We start from the raw sequence: 27,937 nt of genomic DNA, 5'->3' as shown, positions 1-27,937 counted from the left end.
ACACTTTGTTTCATATCTCATAGTCATACTGTTGGAGATAATTTAGACATATAGTAAAACTTAAAGAGCCAGCTTCTTTATATTTAAGGTTATTTCTGAATTATTTTTAAATGTTTGGCTTGACTTTTCCTTTTTGGAGGAAAATAATATTGCATGTGTCAAAACTGGTTTCTTGGATTATTTGTCAGGGGAATAATGCTGCTCTTATTAGAGCTGTTGTCTTTTCATTGTCAGTTAAATTGTTTTCTGAAATAAATAGGAATTTAAAATGTAGCCATATTTTAGAAAAATCACTTTGACAGTGTCCTTTTAAATTAGCATAGTTAATGTAGCATACATTGCCAGTTTTACCAAAACCAACTCAAGAATAACTGTTTATTACATGTGCTTATAATTCACTTTTGCAATAAAAATGCATATAGACACCTAGTATTTTCTTACTATGATATCTTAAAATGTAAAATCTTCAACAAAACATGATCAGTCTCAGAAACTGCATTGGCTGGTATAAAAGGTTGAATAGCATTATAATCTTTTGCCTAATGTGGTAGCATAAGCCTGGTTTTTTTACCCCTTTATAGAATTTTGAATTTGGCAAAACCAACGTAATTAAGTTTTCCGTCTGTATTATACTCTTACCTTGGTCTACCCATGATGTACTCTCCTTAATTTTTTTCTTTATACCCTGTATGACCTATTTATATATGACTTGTGCTTAAATAAGATTTAATAGAAACTTAGATCCCTTGAAAAGCATTGCCATATTGGTCCGAATATAGAGCTTGTCATTTAAAAATGTATTTGGCAGGTTCAGAAATGTGGTTTGAAATTTTCTTAGATGTAAAAGTTATTCAGTTAAAAGAGGCTAGTGCTTAGAAATAGGAAGGAAACGTACTTGAATATATGGGCTTTAAGTGAGACTTGAGAACTGAGAGTTTGGACAGCCCTTAGAGATGCATGCTGTGGAATTTGATTATCCAGACAGGTGTTGATTAACAGCCAGATCTTGATTAGCTCTTCTGAGCATGTATAGCTCACCAGGGCCTACATGACCTTTATTTTCTGCACTATAAAAGGAAAAAGGATTAGAAGGATAATAGTTACATTTGATATTAAGTAAAAATTTGGTATGCATTGTATTAAGGGATGTAAAGTAAGAGAAATTGTGTATTATCAAATGACAAAAACCTGATCAGCCTTGAGTAAGGGGCTCAGGAGGCAGTAGTACTAGCATCTTAGGAGTAGAAGAGTCCTGTGGGATAAGTGAAAGTATGTCTTTGGTTTGATAACAGTGAGAGCTATTAATTTTAGAAAAGTCGAGTTACTTTGTAATGTAGTTAAAGAACAAGGGAGAATGCGTAGTGTAAAAAATACTGTTGAGTTAGCTGCTCACTGTATTTCACAACTGATCAATATTCGGGCCAATATGGACTTAAAGGGCTATGTTTTGAACACAGCTAGATGACAAATTAAATATGAATGGTGAAGGAAATGTACTAATTATTTATTCATATAATCTTTTCTTGGCATTGAGTTAAAGTCTAAGAAGCAGGTTTCAGAGATTAGGATACTATCAGAATTTAAACTTAATGGAATTTAATCTCTAGCATGTCCTAATGCAGACAACTTGCAATTCCAGGGTTTATAAATCATACCAGGGTATTAAAGCACAGTAATCAGATGTGTCAGTGGTAAATATGTGTGAAATAATGAATCATATGACTGCTCTGTTAAGTATTTGGTTCTTTATTGGGGTGCATTTATACCCTTTTATGATTAATAAGTTAGTATATATAGTTATCACAGTAATTATCTTCTCCAAAATGTTTCTAAAAATAATTATTGTGATCACTTCTGTTATTGCCCAGCGAGAGTTGGGGATAGATTTTATTCAGTTAACACTGTATGTAATTAGGGTTTTTTTTATTTCTTCTTCAGTTGGCAGTTCTGCAAGTAGTAGTGCCACAAGGAGAGAGTCTCTATCTACTAGCTCTGACTTGTACAAAAGATCTAGTAGCAGCCTAGCACCCATAGGGCAACCATTTTACAATAGTCTGGGATTTTCCTCCTCTCCAAGTCCAATAGGCATGCCTCTGCCAAGCCAAACTCCAGGACATTCACTTACGCCACCGCCATCACTTTCATCACATGGATCCTCATCCAGTTTGCATTTAGGTAAAAAAAAAACCAAAACCCTTTTTATTTGTATGTATACATGTATGTGTGTTTGTGTGTGTGTTTATAATATATGTAAAATATTTAATGTTGGTTAAAACATGCCAAATTGCTTTTGCTTTTAGATATTAGTCTTTTGAAAAAGTTCTACTTTCCTGAAAATTCAAAGTGAGGGTCTAATGTACAATAAGGTAAAGACCCCCCTATTGTTTCTTATGTTTTTTTTATGAAATATAATGGTGTGTTTTTTCTTGTCTGTGCTTTTGATTTGTGTGTTTTAGAGCATCTGAAAAGTCAACTATATAAACATAATAGTGAAAGAGAAATTTCACTATCAAAAGATTTGCACACCATAAGAAAAACATTAGTTACATAGCTACTGAACTAGGTTAGTACACTGGTTTTTGCTTTGGTCTTTCTATGCCTGGCCATTTTACCAGATAATTATTTCAGTGAATTTGAATTTAGTGTATTTGTCACTTAAGGAAGCTTATAGGCTTGGGCCATATACTTCTTTTTTGGATATGTTAAAGAAAAAAAATGTTTTAGGCTTGTTGTACCCCTGAAGTTGGAGCATTGAGAACTTTGTTTATATTTGTATATTAAAATTGTTCCCACCCCCAAATTATTAAATTGGTGATTACCTTTTTTCCCTCTCCAGGAAGTATTTATCCATGTAGATAATACGTTTTGAAGGGCTTTGGATATCAGGGGCTGTGTATGAATCCCTATCTTGTCAAAGAAATTATTTTTTTAAAACTTTATTTTGAATTTTTATAATTCTAGTTATTCAGCTGAAACTGAGGGATTCTATTGCCAGCTTTTATGTAATTGGAAAGATTTAAATCAGCTTGTGTTTTAAAAAGTAATGTTGCTACTGTAAGCAGATGTACTGTAAGTTAGTGATTATGTTTGACCACCCCCTCCAATTACATGGGTATAGCTATTTAAAAGAAAAAAACAAAAACAAGCAAAAAAACTTACTAATACAATAAATGTCCATGTAACAAAGGTATCTGTTGCAGTGTTCATTTTGATTTACATTATTGCACACACACTGGGCTAGATTTCTTTTTTAAAGACTCTGGTCTTCCACCCCAAATTCTGGGCCTTTGCTCATTTGGGGTATTGATACTGAACATATACAGCCAATTAATGTATTCAAATGGAGCCCTAAGATCCACTTTGCAGTACTAGATGTGTAGATTTACCTATCTTTAGCCTAATACCTTTCTTCATTTATCATGTATTCTTAGTCGCAGGAGCTGCTCAGCTCCTGATTTCTGTTATTACTGCCCAGGCATCCTCCCTTCATAAGACATGCCTATGAAATGGACACAAAAATTTGGAACACAACAAATCTAAGACTTATCATAATAGTTTTTTGTTTTATTGTTAAGATTTTGTCATGTCCTGTCATCTTTTCATAGGTAAGTTTCAGATCAGATTCTTGTTCAGCTCTTAACTGCTGTGTTGTGCTTTAGTGCCTGTATAAATGGCAGTAAATAGGTTCTACACAGCTTGCTTAGAAATCGGATATAAATGACTTTTTAGATGTCTCTATGATTGAACAGCAATCTAGATATGTGCTTCTCTACCTTTCTTTAGGTTGTAAAGAAAGCAGCCTAATAGATGCTTAGGGAAGGAATTCTGGTCAGTTGTGGGAAATAATCACCACTGGGCCAGCATTCTGCATTATAGACTAACATAGCTTCAGCTTGAAATCTGATATTTTAATACACCTCTGATTGGAATTAGCAATTACCTGTGTTATTTTCTTTTTGTGACCCCCAGTTTCCCATAGTTTTAGTGGTGGTATGACTGGCAACATTGTTAACAACAAATAGACCCATGCCAGACTGAAAATAACTTGAAGGATTTCATAAATTTTCTTTTTGCATACTATTCATGGAAATAATCTACTCTGCACTTCCCTATGAATGGATCATGATGCAAGGCTGTCCAAAAAAAAGAAAAATATTTCTTTATGAATCAAGTCTCAAGGCTGATAGTATAAAAGACTTATGGAAATGGAATTTGCATATTTTTAAAGTAATTTTACTGAGCTCACATATCAAGAATATGAAATCATGAGATAGAGATAAGTTCTCTCAATTCTCATTAGAATTGGTTGGAATTAATTCCAGATTATTTTTCTGGGAGATTTTATTTTAAGATGTGAATGTTACAACCATTACAGTTACCTGTAAGGCTTGAGATCTGCATCCCCAAAGTATGTTCCTTTGTTAGTGTTAGTTATTTGAGATTCACAGAAAATGCCCAGTAGCAACAGTCTGTGCTGTCTTTCAAAAAAAAAAAAAAAAGTTTTCATTTTTTAAGATAGGCTTATAACCAACACATGTATTTTTAGCAGGATGACTAGTAATCACTTTTGGGTTGAAGTATAAGAATTTCAGTGCATAGTTTTGGGGTGTTAATTTTTTTATAAAAATCTAAAACACTTGTTCAAATTTGCAGCTCTGTTGCTTATTCTAATATATTAAAGTTAGATGCATGAAAAAATTTTATTCTTCCATTTTTTATAGTATAATATCTGAGGTTCTATTTCAAAACAATAACTACAGTATATCATACATTTTAAAATAATTTATTATTAACTCTAATCTCCCTAATTGACTTAAATGTCTTTAACAATTGTTCCATTTGAATCACAGTCAAAATAAGGTTCATACATTGCATTTGTTTGATATGTCTTAATGTGTAATTGTTTTTCCTTCATCTTTTTTTTCCCTTTCCATTTATTTGATGAAGAAACTTTATCCTATTTATTTTCCCACACTCTTGACCTTGCTGATTGCTTCCCCATAGTAGTATTTAAGATGTTCCTATGTCTCTTTCCTGTAAACTGGAATTCGATCTAGAGGCTTGGTCAGATAATTTATGGGTTGGTTGGTTTATTTTGACAACATGGGGTTCTGTTAGTTTTTGTTGCACTGTATCGGGAGACACGTGTTTGGTTGTCTCCATTGTGAGATGACCAGCCTGATCCACCTAATGGTTTTAGCAGCCTTTGATAATTTTTTTTCCAGAGGTTGCAAAATGATAATTTGTTAATTGTGTCATTCTTTATTCATTTATTATCTGGAACTTTTCTATAAAGAAGAATAGCTATCCCTCATCAGTTGTAAGGTTACAACTGATGACAGTTCATGTAAGAGTCAGAATAATGCAAGATTCTTTCCTTTACTTTCAGAATAATATTGATGCCCTAGCAACTTTTAAAGGTGACTCGTGTTTTTATCCTCATTGTTATCTACAAATGGGTAGATTTTGGGGATAATTGATATGTTTCAGTTCATTGCAGTGTAAGACATCAATTTTATATCTATTTTTGGTTCTAAAATTACACCTTCTTTGGCCCCTTGGAGCCCCTTTATATTGGTTCTCCTGTTGACAACAACTTGGAGAGAGAATGATTTTAGGATTAATAGTTTATACCCTGAAATGCAGAGAACAGTGTAAAATTCTGGGCTTCAGGTTCAATATTAAATATTGAGTTATTTTCTCATGTTGTATTAATCTATAGGAGGGGGGCAATCTACCTACAGTTGTTTTATACATCATTGTCTAGGATAGAAGTAAGCATCTTTTTTTTTTTTTTTTTGGAGATACTTCACTTGTTGTGAAGAACATTAAATATTTCTAGTATTGCCTTATTTTTCTACCTGGAGCTAGCTGACTAGTTCTTTCCTTGTTTTCCTTCTTCTAATAAACTTTTTAAATATAGTGTTGATAATTTTTTTTAACTCCAGTCTTTGTGCTCATAGTAATTTGATTGATGTGGAACTTACTAGGTATAAAGCAGTGTTCGTATTTTTGTTATTTAACTTAGGTTTTGACAAACTAACGGCTTCTTGCCCTGTACCTCTTCATTTTTGAACTAGCTATTTTTTTCTTAACAAAAAGGGTGCTAAAGTGTAATGTGGGCTTTGAACCCAGTAAAATTTATTGAAAGGGGACTATGAAGTCTGAAGAATGTCATGTATTCAGCAGGTAAACAGCTGTGCTTTAGTTTGCTGTGGATTATAAAATTTCCTAACCTGTCTTCCAGTTACAGAAAATTTTAATAATAGGCAAGATATTATAAATTTTTAGAATCATTCTGTTTAAATTGCTGGCCTTTGGCAGACTTAGTCTTGTGCTTCTCTTATGATAAAATATTCAGAGAAGTAAAATTAGTACTGCAAAGTTGATAGTAAGGCCACCTGCCATTTTTCTGAGTTTCACATACAGTCATTAATGAAAGCAGAAAACAATATGAATTATTCGAAGCATTCACTGAAAATACTGTTATCCTTTAGCAGTTACAGTTCTCTGTAACTGAATAGCATTCGATAGTTTTTTTTCTTAAAGCACCTTCATATTCATATTTCATTTCATCCTAATTGTTGGCATAGACTGTCAGAGTGGTTTGTTGATTAAAGATGAAGAAATTAAAGATCAGTTGATTAATAGACTTTCCCAAACCAGTGAATAACAGAATTAAGGCTAGCATCCAGTTCTGACTCGTGATACTATTCTTCGTTTTTCCATTATGCTATTCTATAGGAACTGAACAATTTTACAAAGTATATAAATAACTTATTCTAATTAGCCTCTCAGAATCTAATGATTACCTCATTATGGTATAAGTTATGCTTTTCTTTGGTTAAAGTATGTATAGGATTACCAGCTTTTTAGGTTCCTTTCTCAGTTTAGTTATTCTTGAGATTTAGATAAAAATACTTGTCTAAGCACATATGTTATATTTGTACTTCTTATTTGTAATAAGAATACTTGTTAATCTAAGGCAGGCAATTTAGGGACTGTGTATAGAGCAGCACACCCGACTCTCAACAGAATCTTACTTACAGGTTCTCATGTTAATATAAATTGAAAAACAGCTACAACCCTCTGGTAGACCTAGAAGTAATTTATTTGCTGATGAGTAGGAAATAATGTTTTGAAGAAATTACGTTACTAGTTGTATGGAAGAATTTGTGATGTTTGGTTTTCTGTATAAAAATGTCTTGATCTTGGTTGTACTTGTTTTAGATTACTAATTTTTTATTTATTATCCTTTAATAACATTATCAGTGACATTGTGGTTCTAATGTCTGAGAAAGTTTTCACCAGTTAATTTACTTAGTTAAGATAATCACAAACTGAAGACTAGAAAATACTTGATCCCATCCTGTGTTTTGGCATCAGAATCACTCTGGCCACTTGTTTAAAATGCCTCGTAGTAGACTTCACAAGGATGTGAACAGTTTGCAAATGTGCGGCAACAGGGTTTGCTCGTTACAATGATTGTGGGGATTCTATTGGCATTAAATGCCTGGTAGCCAGATGTTATACTTTGCATAGTCAGCACAAAAATAGTTTCGTCCCACTGAAATTTTCAGTAGCCTCCACATGAAAACACTGACTTGAAATAATTTGTAGCTGGCAGAGATTATTTTAATCTACCAAGAATTCACCTGTAATTTACACCATCCCACCATGCTTATAAGGTACCCTAAGGATCAAAAGGTAGCCTTTAAAATACAGGCAGATGTGCTTCATGAGAGATTTGCAGTGTTAGCCAAATAACATAAAAATGAAAGTAGCATATATCTCTTAGAATGGCTTTGAAAAGTTGTTTCTTATATGTAGAGAATATTTTCACTGGAGTTGGTTTTGTTGTGATATATCTAGGAATGGATCCAGCAGAAGAAGTGCAAGATCTTTTACATTATAAACTATAAAATGCTGATGGAAGTTACAGATGACTTAAATAAATGGAAGGACATACCATATTTTAGGTTGAAAGACTCCCTATTATAAAGATACCAGCTTTCTTCTAGTTGGTCTAAAGATTGAACGCTATCAATAAAATTAGGTTTTAAAAAGAAATTGATAAGCTGATGCAAAAAATGAAAATGGAAAAGCAGAACCAAAAGTAGTGAAGACAGTTTTGAAAAGCAAAGTTAGAAAACTTAATACTGCTGGATACCAGAACTTAGAAAGCTACAGTAACTAAAACTACGGTATTGGCACAAGGATAAATAAATAGAACAGCGGAACAGAGTAGTGCATCCAGAAATAGACCTACTCATTTAGATACCTAATGACCAAGTTGCCACTCCAGTGTATATGAGAAAAACAGGTGTTTCAGTGACTTGGGCAGGAGTAGTTGAATATCCAAATGAGGGGGAATGAACTTTGACTTCTGTTTCACACCACACATACACATATGCACACAAACACGCTTTATTCTCAAAGAAATTACGTGACTTATATTCATGAAGTTAGTAAGAGGCAGAACCAAAATTTTGAGCCCACGTTTATCTGGCTTCTTCCAGATGTTGTACTGCTTCTCAAAGGATGCTTTTCTATTTATTTATTTATTTATTCATTCATTCATTCATTCATTCATTCATTCATTTGACGAAGTCTTGCTCTGCCCCCCAGGCTGGAGTGCAATGGTGCGATTTCAGCTCACTGCAGCCTGTCTCCCAGGTTCAAGCGATTCTCCTGCCTCAGCCTCCTGAGTAGTGGGGATTACAGGCGCCTGCCAGCACGCCCAGCTAATTTCTGTATTTTTAGTAGAGACGGGTTTTCACCATGTTGGTCAGGCTGGTCTTGAACTCCTGACCTCAGGTGATCCACTTGCCTCGGTCTCCCAAAGTGCTGGGATTACAGGTGTGAGCCACCATGCCTGGTCAGGATGCTTTTATTTCTAATACCTATCCGAATAAATTAAAAGGACCATGTTTCCTATGTTTCACATCTTTGTAAACTTTTTATAAAATTGTAGTAAAATATAATTTAACCTATTGTGACTTTGTGGAAAAAGTGAGTTTGAATGTCAGTGTTATTGGCTTTTTTGGGTTTTTCACTTGCTAACAATTGATCTTTAATCCAAATTAAATGCTATTTACTTTAAGGGTCTTTTAAATATTTCATTACTAATTTTAAGTTAAAACTGATCATGTACAGTGGCTCATGCTTGTAATCCCAGCATTTTGGGAGGCTGAGGCGGGAGTATTGCTTGAGCTCAGGAGTTCGAGACCAGCCTGGGCAATGTGGCGAAACCCCGTCTCTATTAAAAATACAAAAATTAGCCGGGTGCGGTGACATGTGCCTGTAGTCCCAGCCACTTGAGAAGCTGAAGTGGGAGAATCGCTTGAACCCAGGAGACGGAGGTTGCAGTAAGCCGACGTTATGCCACTGCATTCCAGCCTGGGCATGACAGATCGAGACCCTGTCTCAGAAAAACAGAAAAGAATCTTGTTTGTAATACTTTAAAATACTGTAAATAGTATATAAATAGCAAGTTTTGTTTTTATTTCTAATTACTGAAAGTAATTGCTATTTTATCTTTTCTATAGTTTTATTAGACTCCTTTTTAGAATTATGTGATTAAAATTGTTACTTATTCAATATTGAATATCTGTGTTCAATACAATATTGAAGCCAGCCTCTGCTTGACTAGGAGAAAAAAACATCCTTATTCACTGTCATCGAGTTTGTAGCTTTGTGGTAAATACAGATAAAAACAGCAGTTACAATATAATGATTGTAATGTTCTTGTCTTATTTCACTTTATTTCATAATCTTATTCTGTAGAAACATAGTGATTTCATTGGAATTATTTTCCTTTATGGGTTTTTTGAACCAAAATTAGCACACATTGGATTATAATGGAATTGTTTCTAGGTTTATTTTCTCCACTAGATTAGAAACAAGAAAGCCCAGGCCTTTTTCTACAACTAAAAATACTCAGATTTCATTGAATGTTTGGGTAATTGAATTTGAGTGGTTTTGTTTCTTTGTTTTATTGATGAATTTATTATTGAGTAAGGACACTTCCTTTTTAAAAATTACTTGGTATCCTACATAGATTACTATATTAAAGCATTATTTGGCTGTTCTCAATCAGTGTTTTCTTTGTTCAGTGTGCCAAGATCATACTCTTTAGAACATTGCATTATGAAAATGAAGTTTTGACAGTCAGTTGTGGAGTTTTTGTTTTGTGTGTGTGTGTGTTTATTTGTTTTTTACCTTCCCAGTTCTTCAGCCCTCTTCCCACCACCACAATGACCCCATCAAGAGAGACAATAAATGTACCCATAATGTTTGTGTAGGATCAGAATTTATTCCAGTATTCACAGCTTTTGAAGCAAGCTTTAAGATTGCATAAATCCTTAGTAATCATGGTTTAAGAGAAACAATCCCAGCTCCTATAATTTTTCTTCACTCCAATCAGAAAGGCAACTGGCCATGAAATCTCAGCTGGAATATTTAAAAGGAAATTCAGATATGGCTTGCTCGTTTGTTAACTTATTACCAAATGTATTAACCAAAGGAAAGAATTTAGGCCAAATCTGACAGGGTCATATGACATATGCAGGGAAAAGCCAACAGGTTCCTATTAGGCTACTCGAACTCATCCTACTACTACTACTCTTTTGCGGGGTTAGGGGTAGGTTTTTTAAAATGTTCTTGTGTCCATCAGTCACAAGAGGAGGTAGTTTTCACTAAAGATAAAAAATTGAGGCAACTTTTGGAACTATACATTACCCCCTTTTGATAGGGTAATGGAAATTGACAGGGTGGGTTATTGATGGAAATGATGTCATAACTAGTCTGAAGACTATGTTATGTTAACTAAGTATGTTATTACTTAGTCTGTTTAAATTCCCCTTGATGAATGAGGGAAGATTGTTAAATACCTTGTATGGTGATAGTCTGCCCTTTATTTTTTTAAGTTTAACCAGTAAAGACTATAATAAAAGGTAAGATTTTTAAAAATTGCTGATAGAAAAGAATCACAAGCAATAGAAACGGAAACAACAGATTTTTATTTTGTATTTTAGAACACTTGGCTTGTAATTTGCATCTAATGTTTGCTTGCATATTGTCATAAAATTAACAGTTTTAAGGTAGTACGTTTGACATGTGTGTATTTTTATAACAGCCTATTAAAATGATGTGGAAGATTATACTTTTAAATATGCCCACTTTGTTTTTTTAAACTCATTGTAGTCTTAGTCTTTCCTCCAATAAAATTGTTGTGTCTTTATATGGCAAATGTATAGTTATTATAAGCATTCTCACGCATGTGATCCCAGCACTTTGGGAGGCCAAGGCAGGTGGATCACGAGGTCAGGAGATCAAGACCATCCTGACTAACATGGTGAAACCCTGTCTCTACTAAAAATAAAAAAAAATTAGCCGGGCGTGGTGGCGGGTGCCTGTAGTCCCAGCTACTCGGGAGGCTGAGGCAGGAGAATGGCGTGAACCTGGGAGGCGGAGCTTGCAGTAAGCTGAGACCGTGCCACTGCACTCCAGCCTGGGTGACAGAGTGGCACTCCGTCTCAAAAATAATAATAATTATTATTATTATTAAAATTTTATTCAGTTTATACCTCATGTAGCTTCAGTCATTTTGCAGACTTAAGAATGGCATGTGAGATTAAACATTCTCTAGGAAGCATAGCAGAGTATGACTGACAACTTTACATGAATTTTTTAGACATAATGGTAAACAAAAATTCAGCCTAATTATTAGCTGTGCTTTCTTGGATAAGTTATTTAGATTCTCTAAGCTGTTGTCTCACAAGTAAAATGGAGATATGTCTGCCTCATAGGCTATTAAGAGGATAGCATTCTCATACAGCAGTGTTACAAATGATGTATCATAAAATAATAGTCCAACCACCTGCCACATTTCAGAAACAAAAAAAGATTTATACTTTACATGCAATAGACATACAAAAAATTTTAAATTCTGAGGGAAAAAAATGAAAATGCCCCACACATTTGAGTCATTTATATATTAATCTGGAAAGAAATGCTATCTTTCTGTAACTTCTGTTTTATATTTTTATTTCAGCATTCACCCTGTGTGCATGAGCTGTATTAAATGTATCTGACATACATATATATATATATATTTTGTTTGTTTTGTTTTGTTTGTTTAGACAGGGTCTTGCTCTATTGCCCAAGCTAGAGTGCAGTGGTGCAGTCTCTGCTCACTGTAACCTTCGCCTCCTGGGTTCAAGCAATTCTCCTGTCTCAGCCTCCCGAGTAGCTGGGACTACAGGCGTACGCCACCACACCCAGCTAATTTTTTTACACATACATATAGTGGAGATGGGGTTTCACTGTGTTGGCCAGGCTGGTCTTGAACTCTTAACCTCAAGTGATCCGCCCACCTCAGCCTCCCAAAGTGCTGGGATTACAGGCCTGAGCCACCGCATGGGGCATACTTACTTTGATTTTTATTTGCAATTACTAGTTGAAAATCTGTTGTAAAATGAAGAATTAAATTATTTTTATTCTAATTAATTAGTCCCCATACTCTTCTATCAGAATATCCTTCAGGTGGATTTTCCAGAAGGAGTAATTATCTATGTCTTAAGTAAGGGTCAGGAATCTGTATTCTTAAACAGGCCTCATAGATTGAGTAGCTGTCATTCCAATCCCAGAGGGTAGAAAATAATGAAAAATGAAGGCTAGACAGATTTCTTTATTTTGTGGTGGTTTCACTTACGGTCTCCCCCAGCACCCCTTGCCCCGCGGAGGACCTGCTTTATCTCCACAGATTCTGCATCCTTGGATAAAGGTGAAACTTGTAGATACGGAGGTCTTGCCTTTCGTATCCATAGTTTACATAAGGCTAAACTACTGGAGTTCAGCTTCCACAGATTTTTGGTTTCTTGTGTGGGTCCTGGAACCAATTAAAGTTCTCATGAATGAACATGAAAGATGTAAATAGCACAGAAGATTGGCACACTGTCGTATGAGATAAGCTCTGGCCTAAGGGTCTTGGCTGACTAGCTGCATGTCCCATACCTTTTGGACCATTGGACCATTGGACCATAGTGACCTCATCTGTGGAATTATAGTACTGATCTACATGTCCTATATACACTCTTAGGCAGATAGTGATTAAACAGTCATGAATGATAGTGGGGACTGAATGACGAAATGAAAAGACCTTATCTCTTTTAATACTTTTGGTGCAGAACATAGCTGCTTTTAGACTACCAGCAGCAGAAGTATGAATATGGATGACCTGTTTATGTGTTTGTTTTTAACCAATTCTGGGATAATTTGAGACTAATGGGAAAATTGCAAAACTATACCCTTCACCCATGTTTTCCAGATGTTACCGCTTTATCACATTGGCTGTATGATTCTCTCTCCCTCTCTTCTTCCCCTCATCCACAACACTATTTGGGTTTACTTTTGAAAGGAAGTTGCAAGTGGGCCAGCGTGGTGGCTCACCTCTGTAATCTCAGCACTTTTGGAGGCTGAGGTGGGCAGATCACTTGAGGTCAGGAGTTTGAGACCAGCCTAGCCAACATGGTGAAACCCCGTCTCTACTAAAAAAAAATACAAACTTAGCCGGGCATGGTGGTACGCACCTGTAATCCCAGCTACTCGGGAGGCTGAGGCAGGAGAATCACTTGAACCCAGGAAGGGGAGATTGCAGTGAGCCAAGATTGCATCACTGCACTCCAGCCTGGGTGACAGAGTGAGACCTGTCTCAAAAAAAAAAAAAAAGTTACAGGCATGATGTCCCTTACTCAAAAGTACATTAGTGTATGTTTCTTGACAGTAAGTATATGTTTTCATATAACCACAATTTCTGAAGTCAGGAAATTAACACTGATAAACCACTAATCAAAGCAGCCAACTTTATTCCAACTTTGCTACTTATCACACTGATTACCTTTATAAGAAAGAGAAAGGGAGATTGACAATGGGGGCCCATTGTCAAATTGAGGATCACGGATTACTTTCATCACTGCTCTTTTCTTTAATCTCGAACTGTTTCTGTTTTTTATGACCTTGACATTTTTAAAGGGTATAGGCCTGTTTCATAGAATGTCTCAATCTCCAGATATTTTAGATGACCTGCTTTCAATATTTAGACAACAAAATTTAAAATGTCTAATGTATGTTAAAAATTGGGTTTTACACACTTATTTGTGAGAGAAAAGGTATGCTTCCCTGGGTGAAATTAATTGGTGATAGTTCGTCCTTTCAGTGAATTAGTTTCTGGAGAATATTTTTTTCTTTTTCTCTTTTTTTTTTTTTGGTGGGGGGGTTGTTGTTGTTGTTGTTTTGTTTTGTTTCGTTTTTGAGACAAGGTCTTGCTCTGTTGTCCAGGCTGGAGTGCAGTGGCACAATCTCATCTCATTGCAACCTCTGCCTCCCAGGCTCAAGCGATCCTCGCAACCTCACCCTCCCCAAGTAGCTGGGACTACAGGCACACACCACCACTCCTGGCTAATTTTTGTATTTTTTGTAGAGATGGGGTTTTGCCATGTTGCCCAAGCTGGTCTCAGACTCATGACCTCGAGCTATGTGCCTTCCTCAGCCTCCCAAAAATGCTGGGATTATAGGCGTGAGCCACCGCGCCTGGCCAAATTTGTAAATTTCATATATGAGAAGACCACTTAGTCTTCTAGAACTGAATGTCTATGGTTTTTTAAAATTCAAGGCAGTGTAATATTATTAGATATTGTATACGATGTGCACAGGAGTTCTGTTGTTAGGAGCTGATAGAATATCAATAAAAGAATACCTAGATATGGGAGAAATTCCTGTTGCTTATTGGCAGGATATTTGGGAGGTACCAAATAAAACCGGCTTCTTCATTTCCTGGGGTGAGTACGTATTTTGAATTTGGTGTCGAAAATCTTTAATGCATTAAGGGTGTTTGAGGTAATGATAAGAAATAGTAACGAGTAAGTGGGGTGGGGGATGTGAACAGTTAGGGTACTACTAAGAAATTTGTGTGAAAAATAGGTTTGGATTAATGACTTGAAAACTAGGTTGAAGATCTTAGAGCAAGTACTCTTATCAGGATGCTGTAGGTTTTTATCATAAAGTGACATCATCAAAAATGGACTTTGAAAGGAAAAATACAATTGATGTGTATAAAATTGGATTGGTGAATCTTAAATTCAGCTGATTAAGAAAAAATTTTAACCAAATTGAAATGATAAGCAAAGCACCCCTGCCCTTCTAAAAGGGCAAAGATGCTAGAGAAAACCCAGTGGCTGTGCAGATGTGATAAGGACCCAATTTTAAAGAATCAGATGGGCTAGTGATCAATTATTGTTACGAACAGTTAGAAATACGTAAACAAATAATGGAAGTGGAAAGGCTGGCAGTAGTGAGACAGTATTGAAACACTGAACTCTTGAACGTTTTGAATATCATGCATGGGTGCTGAGATAGTTAAGTATAACTGGACCAAACAAGAATTTGATCTTAGTGATTTTGGTGTGTAAGATAGCTTCTTAAATTACATGCCTTTTTTTTTTTTTTTGTGACGGTTTCGCTCTGGCACCCAGGCTGGACTGCGGTGGTGCAATCTCTGCTCACTGCAACCTCCGTATCCCGGGTTCAAGCGATTCTCCTGCCTCAGCCTCCTGAGTAGCTGGGATTACAGGTGCACGCCACCGCGCCCAGCTAATTTTTTTTTGTATTTTTAGTAGAGGTGGGATTTCACCATGTTGGTCAGGCTGGTCTAGACATTGTTCCAGGCACCAGGTAGCTAGCATGTAAATTAATTTTATGGCTCTTGGATTGGAGATGGGGCTGGGGATTCAAATAAATAATGCATAATATGCTATGTAATAGGAAGTTCAATGAAAAAAAGTAAAGCTAGGACAGTAGGGACAGAAAGTGAAAGAGGAATGTTCTAACCCAATTTACTCTCCAGGATTTGACTGTTTTACTGCTCTCTGTCCTTGTAGTCCTTTTCGACCTTTAATACCTCCGTATAGCTTTGCACTGACAGTGTATCCTTGGGACCATCTCTACCCTGTGGCCTGGATTGTATATATAGTACTACTCTGCATAGATTTTGCATATAATAATAGCATGATGCTGGTAGTGGATTTTGTTTTTCTGAACTCTACTAATGTGTATTTTACAACTATCTATACATTTTTCTTTTTTAAAAGGACACTGTCAAGTACTTTTAAACTGTTAATTGTAATTTTAAAAATTTCCTGCATGTATTTATTTTTATTTCTATTGACTGCTCTTTGATTTTCTTTCTTGGAACGGAATGTAAGTTAAAAATGTTTTTTATTTATTGTAAATGATAAGGCTCTAGGAATAATAACTGCTGTTTATTAATACTATTGTTTGTGAAATAGTGGATTTATGTCAAATATATATATATATATATATATATATATATTTTTTTTTTTTTTTTTTTTTTTTTTTTTTTTGAGACAGAGTGTTGCTGTGTCACCCAGGCTGGAGTGCAGTAGTGTGATCTTGGTTCACTGCAACCTCCGCCTCCCAGGTTCAAGCGATTCTCCTGCCTCAGCCTCCTGAGTAGCTGGGATTACAGGTGCCCGCCACCACGCCTGGCTAATTTTTGTATTTTTAGTAGAGACAGGGTTTCACCACGTTGGCCAGGCTGGTCTCAAACTCCTGACCTCGTGATCCGCCCTCCTCGACCATCCAAAGTGCTGGGATTACAGGCATGAGCCACGACGCCCAACCTTATGTCAAATATTTTAAATAAAAATTTTAAAATCTTAAAATAGTGTATAATTTAGATTTATTACCTAATATTGTGGCTTTTTAAAGTTCATACCATCAGTGGTATGATGGTAAGAATTGATTTATTTTTACATAGAAGTATATATGACCGAATGCAAAAACTAGAGATTTAACATTCAATGTTATTGTGTTAATAATGCTAATGAATTTCAGTCTATTTCAGTGGCTTAAAATGTAAGTTTGCTAGCAATTTAAACTTGCTTGTTAATGTAACTGAAAATTTTGTTGGTAGTTTCAGTGTTCTGACATTTATGAGTGCATATGACACTAGATCATATAATTAAGTTTTAAACTAAGCTGCTGAAGAATAAATACACACTTATTTTTCTCATGTTTTCTAGTCTCTTTATCATATAGCCACATACATGAGGTATATGGGTGAGATTTTCCCCTCCCAATTTTAATTTTCTGTCATAACAAGTAGGAATTAGTGGGGGGAAATATTTCTTTATTGACTGAATTTGTAGCTAAAGTAAATTTTATTTGAGGAATAACTTTGTCAAAAATACTTGCTGACCATAGCTGCTTTGTTGTAGGAGGACTGACAAATGGTAGTGGTCGATATATCTCTGCAGCACCTGGAGCAGAAGCAAAATATCGAAGTGCTTCAAGCACTTCCAGTCTATTTAGCTCCAGCAGCCAGCTCTTTCCTCCTTCCCGGCTTCGGTATAATAGGTCTGATATTATGCCTTCTGGCCGCAGTAGATTATTGGAAGATTTCAGAAACAACCGCTTCCCAAACCTTCAGCTTAGAGACTTGATTGGACATATAGTTGAGTTTTCTCAAGACCAGCATGGTTCTAGGTAGGTGATTATGATATTTCTCACTTCATTTTTGCTTTGAAAATTGCTGCCTTATAAAAGCTTAAATTTTTCTGGACTTTAGTCTGCATTAAAGTTGGAAGCTTTTAAGAGCTAAAATTCAATATGGATTATATGTTTTTTCTTTCATGTTAGGATAAATTATAAAAATACGGGTTTTAATTTTTTATAGTTTTCCAGTTTTTTACAGTGAGAATATTGTTATGATGAGAATATAGCAGGGCCCCCTCCATTGGATTATTTTGATTACATCGGCTCTGTATTACATTTGTGGGCTTAAGTGACCCTCATGGTGTGTTTAAAAAATATAGCAAACAATGTTAAATGCCTTTGTGTTGCATTATAGGTTGGTATTCAGTGTGACTTGGCTTAGACTGAAACATTTCACATTTGTTATAGGAAAATTTGGTGCCTTTTTACATTAAAACGAATGTAATACATGAGAGATACATCTGAATTAACATTGTAAAGATAGCTTAGAAAGGAAAATAGAATTGTAACACATTTGATAAATTTAAGATATTTTCTCTCTTTATAGCTTTAAGGTAAACCTCAAGTTTTTAAGTCATTTTAGATTAGATGGTGTACAAATTTTGTCTCCCTATACAGTCATGCATCACTTAATGACGGGGATACGTTCTAGAAAATACGTTGTTGTGTGAACATTAAAGAGTGTACCTATGCAAACCTAGATGGCATAGCCTACTACACACCTACTCTGTATATTGCGCCTAGGCTGCAAATCTGTACAGCATGTCACTGTACTGAATACTGTAGGCATTTGTAACAATGGTATTTGTATACCTACGCATAATAAACAATAGAAAAGATACAGTTAAACTATAGTATAAAAGATTAAAAAATCATATGCGTGTGTAGGGGACTTAATGTGAATGGAGCTTGCAGGACTGGAAGTTGCTCCGGGTGAGTGAGTGAGTTGTGAGTATATGCGAAGGCATAGGACATTACTGTACACTCCTCTAGACTTTATAAACACTGTACACTTCAACTACACTGAATTTATTTAAAACTTTTTTTCTTCAATAATAAATTAACCTTAATGTAACTTCTCCCCACTTTGAGACAGGGTCTTACTCTGTTATCCAGGCTGGAATACAGTAGCATGATCATCACTCACTGCAACCTCAACCTCCTGGGCTCAAGCAGTCCTCCCACCTAAGCATCCCGAATAGCTGGGACTACAGGCACGCACCATCACACCTGGCTAATTACTTAAAATTTTTTTGTAGAGACAGGGTCTCACTGTGTTGCCAGGCTGAGCTTACTGTAACATTTAAGCTTTTTAATTTTTTTTAACTTACTGACTTGTAATAACACTTAGCTTAGAACAGAAACACATTGTACAGCTGTACGAAAATATTTCCTTTGTATGCTTATTCTATGAGACTTTTTCTGTTTACAGATTTTTTAAACTTTTTGTTAAGAACTAAGACACAAATGCACACATTAGCCTATACAGTGTAAAGATCATCAGTTTCACTTTGTTCTAACTCCATGTCTTCTTCCACTAGGAGATCTTTAGCAGCAACACCTATGGAGCTGTCCTCTCCTATGATAACAGTGCTTTTTCTGGAATACCTTCTGAAATCTACCTGAGGGTGTTTTACTTTTTTTTTTTTTTTTAAACAAGTGGAATACACTCTAAAATAACAATAAAAAGTATACTAAATACACAAACCAGTAACTCAGTTGTTTATTATCAGATACCGTACACAATTATATGTACTACACTTTTTTTTTTTTTTTTTTTTTTTTTTTTGGAGACAGAGTCTCACTCTGTCGCTTAGGCTGGAGTGCAATGGCATGATCTCGGCTCACTGCAACCTCCTCCGCCTCCTGGGTTCAAGTGATTCTCCTGCCTCAGCCTCCTGAGTAGCTGGGCTTACAGGCGTCTGCCACCGTGCCCAACTAATTTTTATATTTTTGGTAGAGACAGGGTTTCACCATGTTGGCCAGGCTGGTCTCGAACTCCTGACCTCAGGTGATCCACCCACCTCTGCCTCCCAGAGTGCTGAGATTACATGCGTGAGCCACTGCACCCGGCCATACTATACTTTTATAAACTGACAGTGCAGTAGGTTTATGTCATCATGAACACCTGAGTAACGTATTGCACTATGATGTTATGACAGTTCCTACCCAATAGGAATTTATCTCCATTATAATCTTATGGGACCACCATTGTATATGTGGCTTGTTGTCAATTGAAATGTGGTTAAGCAGTGCATGACTGTAGTTGGTAGTTCCTTCAGAGTAACAAATGAGCCTTGTGTCACCCAGAATGGCTTTCTTGCTTAGGAATTCATTCATGTTGGATGAATTTTACTTCTAAGGGTTTCCTTTATTATGTTCTAAAAGTTAGATGTTTAGTAATACATTGTATATTATGAAAAATAAATGAATAAGCAGCAAAATTTACGTAATTTTCTTATTGATTATAATGTAACCAACCTAAGAAAGATTAAACATCTTTATATCCAGGTTTTTTGTCACTCTATCTTTAGATAAGGTGTTATAAAGAAATGCTATATAACTTTTGTCCTTTTTGCTGTAAGTTAGCTGTCTACTATATAAAGTATGGTAATATTTATGGAAATAACTTGCAGTGCATATATGTGGAAGGGTAGGGTGTAATACTCAAGTGTATTAAAAAACATATTGTCATATTAAAAATGTTCCCTATGTAGATTCATACAGCAAAAACTAGAGAGAGCTACTCCAGCTGAGCGACAGATGGTATTTAATGAAATTCTGCAAGCAGCCTATCAATTAATGACTGATGTTTTTGGCAACTATGTTATACAGAAGTTTTTTGAGGTAAGGATTCATGCATATTTGTATATCCGCCCATCCAGCTGTTGTATACTTGATGCTAAGAAAAGCTCTGAAAGTTGGGTAAAGTCATTTTCATATAAAAAAAGATAATAAGCCAGGGATAAGATATTTACAAATTATATATGCGGTAAACATTTTATCCAGGATATATTGTAATGAACTCCTAAAAAGTCAACAACAAAAAGACAACCCAAATGACAAATGGACAAAGGACTTGCACAGACATTTCTCTATGTAAAATAATACAAAAGGCCACATAGGCCATGAAAAGATGCTCAACATCCTTACTAATCAGGGAAATGCAGATCAATCTCACAATGAGATACCATTTTATACCTACTAAGATGACTGTAATCGGAAAACATAAAATCGGAAAATAACAAATGTGGATGAGGATATGGAGAAATTAGAGCCCTCATAAATTGCTGGTGGAAATGTAAAATGGTGTAGCTGCTATGGAAAACAGTTTGGCAGTTTCTCAAAATTAAATATTGAATCACCACACAATCCAGCAATTGTACTCCTAGGGGTACAATTGAAAGCAAATGAATTGAAAGCAGGAACCTGAACACCAGTATATATTGCACCATTATTCACGATAGCCAAAAGGCGGAAACAGCCCAAGTGTCCGTCAACAGATGAGTAGATAAATACAAGTGGTATATGTATACATTATAGAATATTATTCAGCCATAAAAAGGAATGACGTTCTGATACATACTACAACATGGATGGACCTTGAAAATACTAACTTAAGTGAAACAAGCCACACACAAAAGGACAAACATTGATAGTGATCTACCAGTATGAAATGTCTAGAATAACTAATAGTGGCATAAAGTAGATTAGGGGTTACTGGGCCTAGAGGAAGAAGGGTTTAGAAAGTTACCATTTAATGGATACAGCATTTGTGTTTGAGGCCACGGAAAAGATTTGGAAACAAATAGTGATAGTGATGGTGGTTGCACAACAGTGTGAATATAATTAATGCTACTCAATCACCTAGCTAAAAATGGTTCAAATGGCAGTTTGTCACAAAAAAAATTTTAACATGAACCACTTTAAATGAAAATTTGCTATTAATCCTGATTCATATTTGAAAATATAAAGCATTGGTAGTCAATCTTTGGTAAAGTAGTTAATGAATAACACTATAGTCTTTGGATTTATAGATGTGTGTTATTTTACAGTTTAGCCAATTTTTAAATTTATAAGCATCTGTGTTGTAGCTTAATGACTTTAACAGTTTTTTCCTCAATCATATCAGAATGTAGTTTGATGATTATCTGGGTGAAGAGTTTTGGTGGTCAACGTATGGCTAAGAAAGTTATATATTAAAGATGAAGGGTTTTGGCCGGGCGCGGTGGCTCACGCCTGTAATCCCAGCACTTTGGGAGGCCGAGGCGGGTGGATCATGAGGTCAGGAGATCGAGACCATCCTGGCTAACAAGGTGAAACCCCGTCTCTACTAAAAATACAAAAAATTAGCCGGGCGCGGTGGCGGGCGCCTGTAGTCCCAGCTACTCGGGAGGCTGAGGCAGGAGAATGGCGTGAACCCGGGAAGCAGAGCTTGCAGTGAGCCGAGATTGTGCCACTGCAGTCCGCAGTCCAGCCTGGGCGACAGAGCGAGACTCCGTCTCAACAAAAAAAAAAAAAAAAAAAAAAAAAGATGAAGGGTTTTGTAAAGATGTTCACTTTAAAAGAGTGTTTCTTTAAAAGGTAGTTAACATATTAGTAACAAGGAAATTTTAGTAAGACTTAACCCAAAGAAGTAATAAAAAATTATTATTGGAAACATTTCCCAGTCTATCTTAATTAGCTTCTACCTTAAAGCCCCTGCCCTACATAGTTACTGATAGAATGAATAGACTGCAAACACTGCCTTACTCAAGTTCAACAAAGCAATATTAAGGTCACTTGTTATTAATGTTATATCTTTTCTGTCAGTTTGGGAGTCTGGATCAAAAATTAGCCCTGGCTACTCGTATTCGTGGTCATGTTCTACCCTTAGCCTTGCAGATGTATGGCTGCCGCGTTATTCAGAAAGCATTAGAATCTATTTCTTCTGACCAGCAGGTAATTGTAAGTTAAGACAAAATTTTTGTATTATTTTATTCAATTTTTAAATTATTACATGTTTTTAATCTTACAGTAATCTTGAAGTGAAAAGACTTAAATATTTCCACAACTAGACTAAAATGTTGTTACTGTGTCCTAAATAGCACACTACTAATTAGAAGTCACAAAGTAGATAATTTCTAAATGAAGATATTTTAGCACCTATGTGGCAAGCAGAATGTTAAATGATGAGTGTTTTTATTACTACTTGCTTACTTGATTTTCTGCAATGTGAGAATGCATGTTACTATTTTCCAGTGCTTATTTTGATGGTGTCTAATGTTTCTATTATAAGAAGAAAATTTTTGGAACCAATAGCATTACTATATGTCAGTTTTATTTACATATATGAAAATGTTTTTTTTAAAAATATAGCCCAGCAGAAAAGTAACTCAAGATTCCTCTTTAAAAATTTATAATTTTTTGAGAAAAACAAGAACACGTAAATTAAATGAGAAATATTCTGTGTTATTGGATGGAAAGTCTAAATATTTCACATTAATAAAGGAATTGTTGATCAAAATAATGCTTAAAATCATTTGAAATAGACAAGAATATTGAGAGTAGGGGATGAAGATAAATGCTGATCCACCAGATTTTTAAAATACACTGTGAAGCAACACTAATTAGTGGGGTTATTGTATAGAAGATTAAACAGACTTTTAATAAGAAATTTATAGCCCCAAATCAATACTGTTTTCTGACTACATGATTTATGTATTACAATGAAAGCATAAGACTGAAGGAAATAATTATTTCTTAAAAGGTAATGGTAGTTTAAGTTTGGAAAGAGATTATCTTTGACTCATACAATAAAAGAAAATTTCAATAAATAGTAATATATGGATGGATGACTATATATGTGTATATATTCATCACTGCATTAAAATCTGTGAGAAAATACTATTATTCCTCCAGAGGAAATTCTGAGTTTTACAGTAATTTTAATGTGTGTCACAATGGAGAAATATAAACACATTTAATTATTTAAAAGCTTAGAAACTTCTCTGCCACAAGTTTCTAACTGGTATAGATATTTTTAAAATGTCTTTGATATTTAAAAATAAAAGCATTAGCAGTAAGTCTTTGTTGAAACAGTTAATGAATAACAATATTATTTGGATTTCTTTTTTTTTTTTTTTTTTTTTTTTTTTTTTGAGACGGAATCTTGCTGTGTCGCCCAGGCTGGAGTGCAGTGGCACAATCTTGGCTCACTGCAACCTCCGCCTCCCAGGTTCAAGTGATTCTCCTGCCTCAGCCTCCGAAGTAGCTGGGATTACAGACATGCGCCACCACGTCTGGCTAGTTTTTTGTATTTTTGGTAGTAATCGGAGCCATGTCGCCCGGGCTGGTCTCAAAACTCCTGAGCTCAGGTGATCCACCAGCCTCAGGCTCCCAAAGTGCTGGGATTACAGGTGTGAGCCATCGCATCTGGCTATAAGCACTTTATTATAAGAGCATTTTATAAAAGAACAAAGATACCTGACATTAATTCTTCCCTTAGGGAATTATTGAGATAATATGTAAAAATCATAGCCCATAAGTAGTCATCAACTTCTTAGCCTTTTCTATGTACTTGATAAACTCACTCAGCCATTAAAAATAATTCCTTTGGTGGTGGAGGTGGTACTAAGTAAGGCGGAAGTGTGTAATTCTGAATTAGTCATGTTAGTTACCGCCCGATAAATATTAGCGGATGATTTACACAGTGAAGACAGTTTAAATACAGCAAGTTCAGCATCACTACGTTGTTTCAACATACATCATTTACATTATAATCCTGCAGTGTGTTTTAGTAATTTTCACTTTTCAATGGTTTCTGCTAATTATACTACAAGAGAAAAAAATTTAAACCCTTGACAAACAGGAAATAATATTTGTGAATATATTTGTGTTCCCATCTCAGTATTTTTAATACTGAGATAAATATACTGAGATTTTTAATATTTTTAATTTTTAATACTGAGATAAAATATACTAGTATTTTCTCGTTTGAGGTAATAATTTAAATGACATCCTGTCTTTTGCAGAGTGAAATGGTAAAGGAGCTGGATGGTCATGTGCTCAAATGTGTGAAAGATCAGAATGGAAACCATGTTGTACAAAAATGTATCGAATGTGTTCAGCCACAGTCACTACAGTTCATCATTGATGCTTTCAAGGGACAAGTATGTTTGAGTTTTGGCTTATAATTTGTTAGCAGGGCATTATTTTAGAATTTTGAATATCAACACGTTTTTCATGAGTCACTAGATAATACCCAGCAATTGTATACAAAAATAGGATACAAAACAGTAAATGTACATTAATTTCTTCCTCTTTCATAGTCAGTAGATAGCTTCATTTTTCTGAAGCTGCAAAACAAATAGTTTAATCACATTACTTTAAGAAGTAAAGGTAATCACTGTTAGAATTGTTTTTTATTTATACCCAACGATGTTTTCAGGTTTACTCAGAGAAGGGAAGGAGGTTTGGAGAAAGACATAAGACTGTATAATAAGACAGAAAACACATAGCAATTTGTAACTAATACATAGTAATTAATATTTCTTAATGCTGAACTACCCTTTCTCTTTTCACCCATTCATTCCCATTGTTACATAACCTCAGGTTCAGGTAAAGTTCTGGTTAGGTTCCTTTTGATCAAAATATCTTCAGCTCCTAAATGGAGTGCTCCCTGTCCCCACTCTCCAGTCTTTTCTAACATGGTGGTAGTCATATTAAATGTGAGTTCATCACCCTTCTATTTCAAACTGCTTTTAGGTGTTGTCAAAAAAAAAAAAAACAAACCAGTCTGCTTCATAGAACTGTTCAAAAATGTCAGAGAATACAAATTTTAATTCTTCTAATTGTCCTCAGGTATTTGTGCTTTCAACTCATCCTTATGGCTGCAGAGTAATTCAGCGCATCCTAGAGCATTGCACTGCAGAACAGACCTTACCTATCTTAGAAGAACTCCACCAACATACAGAGCAGTTGGTACAGGTATAAATTCCCTAATAATTTGAAATGTTTATATATTTTTGGAAATTGTTTTAATTTTTAAAAGAAATACAATTTGTTACTAAACACACTATAGACAAGAGTGAGACAAAAGGCTGTTGTATTCTCCTAACTATCCTACTGGATTTTTAGATGAAATGATTAACATGTCTTTAAAGAATATCATTCTTAAGGAATGACTTAGGGAAAGTAATTTTTAAATATCTGTCTTAGGATCAGTATGGCAATTATGTTATTCAGCATGTACTGGAACACGGTCGACCTGAAGACAAGAGCAAAATTGTTTCCGAAATCAGGGGAAAGGTTTTAGCCCTGAGTCAACACAAATTTGCCAGGTATTGTAATACTTTGTAATTTTAAGGGTCAATTCTTTCAACTCATTGACTTTTATTAGTTATCACAGAAATACGTGTAGCATGTAGCATTAAACTGTAGTCTTTTTTTTTTGGTATCATTAAAATGCACCTATAGAACATTGCTTTTGTTTTTTAAAAAAATCTACATAACAAATTTGTTTTGCCCACATATGTTCATTTATGAAATCTGTATTTGGAAAATAATTACTCCCGACACTGGAAATGCAGATTTATTTAGTACATGTTTCTTGAAAACCTCACAGCTTTAATGATCTGGTTTCCTTTTTTTTGAAGTACAATTTTAAGAGACCTGTAATTAAACTTGTGGATGTCAAAATGATGTAGGTTGTTCCAAGATACCAATTTCTGTTATAAAAGTAATTGGCTGGGTACAGTGTCTCACACGTGTAATCCCAGCCAGCACTTTGGGAGATCAAGGCAGGAGGATCAGTCGAGCCCAGGAATTCGAGATCAGCCTGGACAACATAGAGGGAGATCCTTTCTCTACAAAAAATTATCCAGGCGTGGTGGCGCATGCCTGTAGTCTCAGCTATGGGGGAGGCTGAGGTGGGAGAATCACTTCAGCAAGGGAGGTCAAGGCTGCAGTGAGCGGTGATAGCATCACTGCACTCCAGCCCGGGTGACAGAACAAGACCCTGTCTCAAAAAAAAAAAGAACAAAATAAAATAAAAGTAATCATAAGACAAGAGAATCCCATCCTGACTTCTGTTTTATTGTTCATTGGAGAAGATTCTTTCTATAAGTCAAGGAAATTTTGCTGTGAAGAAAAAAATAACAAATCTTTGTTTATCTGCTTTAATTTTTAGCAATGTAGTAGAAAAGTGTGTTACTCATGCCTCCCGTGCTGAGAGAGCTTTACTGATTGACGAGGTTTGCTGCCAGAATGATGGTCCTCACAGTGCCTTATACACCATGATGAAGGACCAGTATGCCAATTACGTGGTTCAAAAGATGATTGATATGGCTGAACCTGCTCAGAGAAAGATAATCATGCACAAGGTAATACAGCATGTAACACTCAGATAACTGTTTGTCTTTGTGTTTAGGCTACACATTTAACCTCCTTGGGCTTTCATTTCCTCCCGTATGTTATAACTGGAGGAAAAATTAAAATCGATGGATATCCTTTGGCAGATATATTGGTATGGTTTCCATTTTTATGCTTAAGGTTATCATGGCCAGGCATGGGGGCTTTTGCCCATAATTCCAGCAGATTGGGAGGCTGAGGTGACAAGATCACTTGAGCCCAGGAGTTTGAGACCAGCCTGAGCAATGTGGCAAGACCCTCCCTCTACAAAAAAAAAAAAAGAAAAACAATTAGACAAGCATCATGGTGCAACCCTTTAGTCCCAGCTACTTGGGAGGCTGTGGTGGGAGACCACTTGAGCCCAGGAGTTCAAGACCAGTCTGGACAACATAGACCCCCATCTCTACAAAAAATTTAAAAATTAGCTGGGTATGACGATACATGCCTGTGGTCCCAGCTACTCAGGCAGCTGAGATGGGAGGATCGCCTGAGTCCCGGAGGTTGAGGCTACAGTGGGCTGTGTTCATGCCAGTGCACTCCAGTCTGGGCAACAGAGCAAGACCCTGTCTCAAAAAATAAATCAGTCATTCAAAAGAAATTCTTAAGGAATCATATTCATTTCTCATCTGTTACCTATGTTTTACATTGTTCTTTTTGCCTTCATCTTATTTAACTGTACAGTTGCCCGTCAGTAACTGGGGGATTGGTTGCAGGACCCACCCACTCCTGTGCCAAAATTCACGGATGCTCAAGTCCCTTATATAAAATAGCGTATAGTATTTGCATATAACCTAAACATATCCTCCCATATACTCATCTCAAGATTACTTAACGATACCTAATACAGTGTAAGTGCTATGTAAATAGTCATACTGTAATGATAAGTAAAAAATCTGTTTAATACAGACTTTGTCATTTTTAAAAATATTTTTGATCAGTGGTTGAATCCACATATGCAGATGGCAAACTACAT

The 27,937-nt window shown here is 35.4% G+C and overlaps 1 protein-coding gene across 54 annotated transcripts in view; it reads left to right on the top strand.

Annotated features, from left to right (window-relative positions):
* PUM2 (pumilio RNA binding family member 2) overlaps window positions 1-27,937 on the top strand; it is a 103,563-nt gene that overhangs the window by 71,496 nt on the left and 4,130 nt on the right. For 15 of the 54 annotated variants that reach the window (XM_047443803.1, XM_047443815.1, XM_006711974.3 and 12 more), the window contains 8 exons: window positions 1,939-2,175; window positions 17,298-17,565; window positions 20,292-20,421; window positions 22,387-22,521; window positions 24,588-24,725; window positions 25,417-25,542; window positions 25,774-25,895; window positions 26,744-26,936. In XM_047443803.1, the coding sequence (XP_047299759.1) occupies window positions 1,939-2,175; window positions 17,298-17,565; window positions 20,292-20,421; window positions 22,387-22,521; window positions 24,588-24,725; window positions 25,417-25,542; window positions 25,774-25,895; window positions 26,744-26,936 (1,349 nt within the window). Of the gene's footprint in view, window positions 1-1,938; window positions 2,176-2,300; window positions 10,096-17,297; window positions 17,566-20,291; window positions 20,422-22,386; window positions 22,522-24,587; window positions 24,726-25,416; window positions 25,543-25,773; window positions 25,896-26,743; window positions 26,937-27,937 lie in introns of those variants that run through there. The other 39 variants (XM_047443825.1, XM_047443822.1, XM_047443823.1 and 36 more) reach the window with 5 other exon arrangements.

The sequence above is a fragment of the Homo sapiens genome, chromosome 2, assembly GCF_000001405.40.
Source record: "Homo sapiens chromosome 2, GRCh38.p14 Primary Assembly".
In the NCBI taxonomy this organism is placed as follows: Eukaryota; Metazoa; Chordata; class Mammalia; order Primates; family Hominidae; genus Homo; species Homo sapiens.
This window is presented reverse-complemented; position numbering and strand designations above follow the sequence as displayed.